A 9783-nucleotide genomic window follows, 5' to 3' on the forward strand; every position below is an offset into this window, starting at 1 on the left:
ATGATTAACTATCTTCCTTCTCCCCATGAAGTGCATGAGAATGCAACCATGCAAGTTAGGCTGATAATGTCCCCCATCAGATGCTATGGCTCCTCTTGCCTCAGAAGAGAAAAACAGCATGGTTTTGTACTAGGTTATGGAATGAAGTCTGGGATGAATTTTCTGGTTTGTCTGGGGTCAGTCTTCTAGCAAGACTTACTTTAATTTTAAATTTTTTTAATTTAATTTTTTTTGAGACAGTCTCAGTCTGTTGGCCAGGCTGGAGTGCAGTGGCACTATCATGGCTCACTGCAGTCCTGACCTCCCAAGCTCAAGTGATCCTCCCACCTCAGCCTCCTGAATAGCCAGGACCACAGGCATGTGCCACCACGCCTAGCTAATTTTTAAAAAAATCTCTTTGGTAGAGATAGGGTTTCACCATTTTGCCCAGTATGGTCTCGAACTCCTGGGCTCAGGCCATCCACCTGCCTCATTATCCCAAAGTGCTGGGATTACAGGCATGAGTCACCGTGCCTGGCGAGCAAGACTTACTTTGCTTCAAGTTTTGTTTCCAGAACATTTAGGTACCAATTCTCAATATAGAATTCTAACTACAAAAGTCACAAGTTATAAGGCATTTTTGAAGCAGTCACTGTTCATGTCCATCTGTGTCTTTCTTTCCCTCCACTAGCATGGATAATTTGGAGTTAACTGTAGAGCAAATACTTAGGAAATTAATCCCACATGATTTTCAGGTTCAAGGTGAGAAAAAAAGGAGAAAGTACAGTTCTTGTACCTTGACACACTTTATTCCATCTGCAGAAGTGGCTGCAGCTCACATGTGTGACTCACGTTGGAACAGCGGGCTCACATAATAGCATCACGTGCTGGCAAAGTGTTCAGATGACAAGCCAGTTACCTCATTCGGCTGATGCAATCCTGGAATTTCCTGAATTGAAATACAATTTAGGACCAGAAGGGAGAGACCCTGGGCTGTTTGATTAGGGCATCACCTTTAGCTAATTCTAACCACCCCCACCTTTTTTTTCCCATTTGTCTATTTCCTTCTTTCCTTAGGTGTGAGGTAATAATACTAATTGGTAACAGTTAAACTGTGCTGTGCACTCATCTAAGAGTTTTACTCTTAATTGTCAAACAATCCTAGGAGGCAGGCATCCCATTTTTTTCAGATAAGGCAACTGAGGTGCAAAAATCCCATGTCATTGCTTTAGGTCACACAGGAGAAAATGTAAGGCTCTTCTCTTTGAGATGTATACCTGAGGATCTTTGCTTTTAGTGATCAGATTGTGTGTAAGTTTTCCAGGGAGTCCCACTCGTGGAAAGCCCACGACTGCTGTGAGCTGTGACTGAAGATGTTGCCACCTCAGTGTGGTCAATGGCTCTGTCATCCAGTTTTAACCTCCATATCAGAACTTTCTTTAAATTATATGTAGAATTTTTTATTTTTCTACTATTGTTTCAGATTTTTCTTAGTATTTTAAGATGGTTTTTAGTGTTTTACCAGAAAAGGGTCACCACTTAAGATTCCCCTACCCCTGCTTTTTAGGATTTAAGGAGTGGGATATAGTTATTTATTATTTAGTGTGTTAAGATTATTTTCAGATAATAGCAAATGGTCAAGTCTTAATCATTTTTATACCCCATTATTTTGTTCTGGATATAATACCAATATTTATATAAATAGACCAAGGTAGAAGGATTGCTTGAGGCCAGGAGTTCAAGATCAGCTTAGGCAACGACATAGCAAGACCCCATCTCTACAAAAAATTTAAAAAAATTAGCTGGGTGTGGTGATGCATGCCTATAGTCCCAGCTACTTGAGAGGCTGAGGTGGCAGGATCTCTTGAGCCAGGAGTTTGAGGCTGCAGTGAGCTATGATTGTACTACTGCACTCCATCCTGGGCAGCAGATCGAGACCCTTTCTTTAAAGAAAAAATAAACAGGCAAGGAATATATTAGCTTGATAATTATCTTTAGCTGTGACACAAAAAGTGAATACATCCTTCACATTCTGTCATCATGTAGGAATGGAGAAAACTATAAATATGTAAAAATCTTTGAGACCATATTAATGATGGATTCCATTAAGCCCTGGACATTTTGGTGTAACAGTTCCACCTGACAGCTACACCAATCCCAACCACACCATGAAGGGAAGAAACACAGATCCAGTACAGATTGATGGTTCAAACTTACTGCCTGGATGCAAGGTGCCCAGAACAGGCATTTCTAACTCCTTCTGGCCAGGGATGAAATGTGAGACCTTTTGTTACTTTTGAGACACAGAGTTCAACTCTTGCTCTCACATGTTCCTGCAATTGTAGAATATTTTAAAGATTAAAGTCATGGTTCTTTAACATCACCTGTAGTTCAGGGGCCCAGACCTGTCCTGTTAAATCCCCTGACACAAGGCAAGTGCTGCTTCAAGATTCCTTTCTTATCTGTCAAGGTAAACAAAACAAAACAAAACCAGACTTGTCACGCCAAGCTCATGGAGGATAGACAGAACTCTATAGACAAATTAAAAGTCTATTTATAATCACAGATATGCAATGAACCCAACACAATTGATGCTTTATTGCTTATTTGAAGATAAATTCCTATTTCTCCCACCTCTCCCTCTACCCAGTACATTTTAAATGTAATCAGTAGACTTAACAATTTAAGAGTACCCATAAATGAGGATACTAATAGGAATTAGCTGATTCGTCCCACAGAATCCTGAAAATGCTCATGAATTGGAAGTGCCAAGTATCTCAGAAGGTAGGGTTGTGTGTGTCAATGTGTGTGTGTGTGTGTGTGTCTCTGTGTTTGTGTGTATGTGTGTTAAATGCACCTGATAGCAATAATTTACGCATACCCTGAGAATGACCCTGTATAGCAGGTGCACCTGAATGCGGTTCAGAGTTCCAAGCTAAGGAATGTGGGAGAGGACAACGCAGAGATTCATTCCTTATCTATAAGGAACATCTAGGCCCCATCCTGTCCTGTGGAATGTGAGCTGTACAGAGGATTGAGGCCATTTGTTTTGGTTTAAATGCAAGTTTCCAGGTGGAGCTTATTAGGAGGCAGGGGCTAAGTGAAAATGCTGTAAAACCTGCATGCTTTTTGCAAGTGGTTGTGATTCTTCTGCTCAGCCTACTGCCCCTGGGTCGTGGGGTTCTCCTGTTCCGCCCACCACCACTGGGCTCTCCCCTGTGTTTAGCCCCCAGTACAACCCCATGTCTTGTTTGCTGGCTCTGGGTCTCTTCTTTGGCCTCTTGAACCTGGTGTCATCCCCATTGGAGTCTATAAAGGTTTGGTGCCACAGTGTGTAAAAAGCAAAGTCGAGGGACTGTTTGAAAGCCTGTATAAGCAACAGTTAGATTCCCAGGTTACTATCCACACTGTAAGGAGTCAGGTCCTACGTCTTCCCAGTACTAGTAGTGGAGGAGATACTTTGAAACTGAACTAGGAATAGAGAAGAGTGAAGATGAGATGACCCATTTGAAACAGAGTCAGTGATCTGCATTTGAAATTGTAAAGCCTTTTTCAAGTTCCCCTACTGAATTTCAGAATAACAATAACCAATCATACAACCACAAGCAGGATGTGGGGAGATGAACCACCTCAGAAAAAATACAGCGTCTCTCTAGAGACATTTGACGCAAGAAAATAGGGTCTGGAGGTAGGGAACCTAAGGCCAATTCCCACTGACTTCCTAGAACTGTATCAAAAGGAAAACCCCGACTTTCCACATCTAAGTAACAAAGAGACCACAGGCTACTCCCTTTGCAAACCACCCCCTCTTTCCTGCATGGCAGATGGAAAATTTAAAATACTTCTGATTGGTTGCTTTCCACAATCAGACTGATTGGTAGCCAAGTCTTCATTTGCATAGAAGTATAACTTTGTAACTTCACTTTAGCCTGTGATTGGTTGTTTTCCACAACCAATCAGATGTTTGCATAGAGTGTAACCGTTTAACTTCACTTCAGCCTTTGATTGATTGCTTTCTGCAACCAATCAGACTGATGTGGGCCACTACTTCATTTGCATGAGGTATACACCAAGTGGCCAATGGAAAACCTCTAGTGAATATTTAAACCCAGAAAATTATGTAACTAGGCTCTTCAGCTCCTGTGCTTGGGACGCTCCATCTCTGTGGAGTGTACTTTCGTTTTCAGTAAATCTCTGGTTTTGCTGCTTCATTCTTTTCTTGCTTTGTTTGTGCATTGTGTCCAATTCTTTGTGGAAGATGCCAAGAACCTGGACACCCTCGACCAGTAACGCATTGACCTTTGGGGCTACATGAAGAAAAAGCCAGCTGGCCACCTGATTTCCCTGGAGTGTACTATTCATTCACACTTCTTGATTTAGATGTAAATATATATACAGTCATAGCAATGAAAAACACTGAAAATGAATTTACCAAAATTTATGAAAAAACTGCATTGGAAGGATGGATTGGGGAAGCTAAGGGAGTGTAACTCCTCCTCTACCATGATAATAGATAACTTGGATAATTTCTAAAATTGGTGAATAAATAGCAAAGTTGCATATTTAGAAATATGAGGGTAAATGCTAGAACATGACAAAATTGAAAATAGTTACCTCTAAGGAGCAGAACAAGAAGATGAAGAAAGCAGAGGAATACTGTGTTTTATTACATACTTTTGATGGTTATATGAGTTTTTAAAACATTATGGACGAGTTATTACTTTGAAAGTGACGTGATAGTAGTACGTTAGATTATTGACTTTTCAATTAATACTTTAGAGGTTGCATACTTTAAACATGTCATAAATAACTCTGTTCCCTTCCAAAAGGAACCATATTGTTTTCTTTCAGGATGCTTCCTGAAAGTTAACTCTTTCAGGGAAAACAGAGATTTCCAGGGAGGAAATTCCAGGAAGACATTAGAACCCCAGAAGGGAAGTGGGAAGGCTGTCTTTCTGTAGACGCATCACTCTCTGTATATGAGCTGGGATACCTTTGCAGTAAATGGCTATTACCTTTCCAGAAATTGAAAAGCAAGTGCTTCGTTATTTAAGAATGTTGTTGAGATGTATTCTGAGGAGATAAACTGTGGAATACCCCACAAACAAAAAATAACTTCCTCATTAATTATGCACGGTGAAAAGACTCTTTAAACCTATTTTTAAAACAAATTATCTGTTCATCAATATTAGTTAATGCCCCTGGCAGAAATCAAGACCAGTTACAGATATTAAATAGAGAAAATCTGCCTGGTCAGGAGATATAGGTCAGGCTTAATTATCTGATTATTCAGTAGAAAGAGTAATATGGATTATTTAAAGACTCCTTTGAGGCAACACGGAGTTCTCTCTAGAGTCTTCTTCTAAAGAAGTAACTAAATATTATGACCTAAGTGGAGATCTGAAGAAACAAGCTGCTAAGCAAAGAAAGTCTTAAAGGTATTCCACTTCCTCATAAATTTACCAAAACAAGTTTTAGTTCAATGACTAATACATTCTTGTCTTTCCCTATAAAAGTGATTTCCCAGTTCAAGTAGTGATTCTCTTTAATAAGATCCAGACTATAAATGATCTTAAACCAGAAGAAATAACTAAATGTCATGAGGAAATCTCCAGGTCTAGCAATTTTGATAAAGTCTTGAAACCGTGACTTTGTCTAACATCCATCTTTCCACATTGGCTCTGTAAGACCTAACAGTAGGGAAGTGGCTCATCAAATATGTTGAAAGTCATGACAGTATTCCTGAAGAAATATAACAGGTAAAAACAAAACTGTATCATCAGCAATAATTTCAAAGCAAAACAATGCGTCAGCTTGTCTCTAAAAGTGTTCTGGGATAGTATTTAGAGATTTTGACCTTACATTTTTTATCTCATAAAATTATACTCTAGTTGTTTATGTATTGGATGATGGCATTTGCTATTGAGGGCAGACACTGTCTACAAAGAAATAATTTAATGGAAAGGCTTGTTTTAGTCCATTTTCTACTGCTATAATAGAAAACCACAAACTGAGTAGCTTATAATAAACATAAATTTAGAGGCATGACCTTGAAGATATTCCAGGTATCTGGAATATCCAGATATTTGTATATATCCAGACTGCTACAATAAAGTGACTATCACAATAAAGTGAGTCACACGTATTTTTTGATTCCCTAGTGTATGTAAAAGTTATGTTTACACTATACTATATTCTATTAAACGTGCAATAGCATTTTGTCCTAAAAGAGTACATACCTTAATTTTAAAATATTGCTAAAAAATGCTGATGATCACCTAAACCTTCAACAAGTTGTAATCTTTTTGTGGGTGGAGGGTCTTGCCTTGACATTGATGGCCGCTGATGGGTCATGGTTACCGAAGCATGGGGTGTCTGGGCAATTTTTTAAAATAAGACAACGGTGAACTTTGCCACATCAATTGACTCTTTTTATGAATATTTCTCTGTAGCATGTGATGCGGTTTGAAAGCATTTTCCCTGCAGTAGAACATTTTTCAAAATTGGAGTCAATCCTCTCAAATCCTGCCCTGCTTGATCAACTAAGTTTACGGAATAATCTAAATCCTTTGTTGTCAGTTCAGCAATGTTCATAGCATCTTCACCAGGAGTAGCTTTCATCTCAAGAAACCACTTTTTTTGTCCTTCTGTAAGAAGCAACTCATCTGTTTAAGTTTTATTATGTAATTGGAATAATTAAGTTACATCTTCAGGCTCCACTTCTAATTCTAGTTCTCTTGCTATTTCTATCACATCTGCAATTATTTTCTTTACTGCAGACTTGAACCTTTCAAAGTCATCCATGATGGTTGAGATCCACTTCCTCCAAGCTCCTGTTAATGTTGAAATTTTAATGTCCTCTCTATGAATCACAAATGTTCTTAATGGCATCTAGAATGGCAAATCTTTCTCGGCAGGTTTTCAATTTACGTACATTTCCCAGATCCATCAGAGGAATCACTATCTATGGCAGCTATAGCCTTGTGAAATGTATTTCTTAAATAGTAAGACTTGAAAGTTAAAATTACTCCTTGATCCATGGGCTGCAAGATGGATCTTGTCTCAGCAGGCATGAAAACAACATGAATCTCCTTGTATGTCTCCATCAGACCACTTGGATGACCAGGTACATTGTCAATGAACAGTAATATTTTGAATATAATCTTTTTTTTTTTCTGAGCAGTAGATCACAACAGTGGGCTTAAAATATTCAGTAAACTATGCTGTAAACAGATATGCTGTCATCCAGTCTTTGTTGTTTTATTTATAGGGTGCAGGCAGAGTAGATTTAGCATAATTCTTAAGGGCTCTAGGGTTTTCAGAATGGTAAATGAGCATGGGCTTCAACTTAAAGTCAACAACTGCATTAGCCCCTAGCAAGAGGGTCACCCTGTCCTTTGAAGTTTTGAAGCCAGGCATTGACTTCTCCTCTCTAGCTATGAAAGTCCAAATGGCATCTTCTTCCAAGAGAAGGCTGTTTTGTATACATTGAAAATCTGTGGTTTAGTGTGGCTACTTTCATCAATGATTTTAGCTAGATATTCAGGATAATTTGCTGCAGCCTCTACATCAGCACCTGCCACTTCACCTTGTACTTTTATGCTATGGAGATGGCTTCTTTACTTAAACCTCATAAACCAACCTCTGCTGGCTTAAACTTTTCTTCTACAGCTTCCTCACTGCTCTGAGGCTTCATAGAATTGAAGAGAGTTTAAACCAAATCAGAGGATCACAGTTTAGCTTTATAAAAGGTAACCATAGAGAAGGGAACAATACAGACTATGACTCATGGGCAGTTCCCCCATGTCCCTTCCAGGCAGGAAAACCAAAGAAACTTTTACCGAGCTGGGAGAGAGGAATGAGAGAAAGAATAAGAGGAGAGCAAGAGCTAATGTGCAGCCTGGTCCCAGGCTCCTGTAGTCAAACCCCTGGTAGGGGAACAGGTTGATGGAGCTTGGTTCAGTCATCAGAGCAGAAGGAGTGTATGCCCCACTTTCCACGCTGAACTGTAGGAGGGAACCCCGTGCACAGTGTCCCATGCCATGACGGGTAGCCTCAATAGAGGAGAAGTGGTGCCATAATATATTTGGTAGATGAAGAGAGCTTGAGTTATGCCCCACTGGTCTTGCATAACCTGAAAGAGACTTATGAGTTCCTGAGTCAGCCTCAAGTTGGGAGAAAAAACAGGGTACACAGACCCGTTGTGCTACCTGGAGGCAGATGAAGAATAGCTGGTGGAAGAAGAAATAAAGGAATGTGGAATACTATATTGAAGCCTTCGTTCTTGGACCCTGAATAGTTCAAAGAACTAAACCTCTTTTGAGAGAGATACAGACACAAAGCATCAAGCAAAGTCATAAAGTAACTCAGGCCATAAGTGTGGAGGCTTAAGGGACATTTGGAAAGACTGAGTTTTGGAGAAAGACAAGATTTTATAGCTAGGCTTGAAAGAGAACACGTTGTTAGTGATGCAGAAGCTGAAGCTGACTTGGGAGATATGGGCAGAGAGGAAACGAGGAGAGGACCACACCAGCCTAAGAGGGCCTCAGCACAGGATGTGTCCATAGCCAGCCAAGGAGCGTTCTGTCTCTAGCAGAGAGGAGAGGAGATTTCAGTTTAGGAATCAGCCTACACTTTTTTTTTGCTCTTAAAGATAGCTGCTTACCCCTGTTGATGTAAATCAAGGGCCACCACGCACACTGCACACTATGTACAACCCTGTGAGGGAGTGATGCATGCGCAGGGTAGGATAAAAATGATCCCCCTAGGGCTGTAAGATGCACTCTTCCTGCACAACTCTGCCTGAGGGCCTTGCCTAATGCATGCCTTGAACTCATCCCCCATCAAGGGAAGCTCTGTCTGCATCACGACTGAAGCTTCCTGAGGGTAGGGTCAGCAGGAGAATGAAGGAAAGCCACCAATGAAGGGATGTGAGAATTTTACTGAAGGCCAAGGCCCCATAGGTAACCCTAAAGGGATTGCAAAGAGATATATTCTACACAGAGGCCTTCTTGGAAGTGGGGACATCTAGATCAGAATAAACATCTTTGTGGGGATCACAGGTCCCCATAAAGGAAAATAAATGAATTTGGAATTTTGGATAACTTGGAAAGTTTAAACCAAGTTATCAAGTTATCTTTCCCAAAATGATATTTGTTGCCCAGTGATTGTTCACCCATTAGAATGGCATTCTTTGGCTGGGTGCAGTGGCTCACGCCTATAATCCCAGCACTTTGGGAGGCTGAGGCTGGTGGATCATGAGGTCAAGAGATCAAGGCCATCCTGGCCAACATGGTGAAAACTCCGTCTCTACTAAAAATACAAAAATTAGATGCGTGTGGTGGCATGTGCCTGTAGTCCCAGCTACTCAGGAGACTGAGGCAGGAGAATCGCTTGAACCTGGGAGGTGGAGGTTGCAGTGAGCCGAGATCGCACTACTGCACTCTAGCCTGGCGACAGACAAGACTCAGTCTCAAAAAAAAAAAAAAAAAAAAAAAGAATGGCATTCTTTGCTTCAGGGAAAGGCTGATTCAGCCTGTAACAAAGAAGGCAATTGAAGGGCTGAAAAACTGTGTGTGCATGCGTGTGTGTGTGAGTGATCTCTGTGTGCATGTGTGTGTGTGTGTGGTCTGTGTGTTTAAACTCAGAGCAGGCATTCTTGACCGAAACCCTGCACATGCAATAGGTTTGAAGTCAGATGCAAAGAAATGTAAGTTTATTTGTCGATAAAAATAGCCCCTAATTTCTACAAATGGTAGAAACATTTCATTCTGCCCCATGAAGATAAAAAACATCCAGTTTAAA

The 9783-nt window shown here is 40.4% G+C and overlaps 1 annotated feature.

Moving 5' to 3' along the window:
* Positions 367-1566: an enhancer, noted in NCBI's record as "BRD4-independent group 4 enhancer chr15:56332364-56333563 (GRCh37/hg19 assembly coordinates)". NCBI's record gives its function as "activates an origin of replication core promoter dependent on BRD2, P300/CBP, MED14 and CDK7 cofactors, and independent of BRD4, by STARR-seq in HCT116 cells {active_cell/tissue: HCT116}" and the evidence as "EXISTENCE:reporter gene assay evidence [ECO:0000049][PMID:35650434]".

Source organism: Homo sapiens, chromosome 15 (assembly GCF_000001405.40).
Source record: "Homo sapiens chromosome 15, GRCh38.p14 Primary Assembly".
Taxonomy (NCBI): domain Eukaryota; kingdom Metazoa; phylum Chordata; class Mammalia; order Primates; family Hominidae; genus Homo; species Homo sapiens.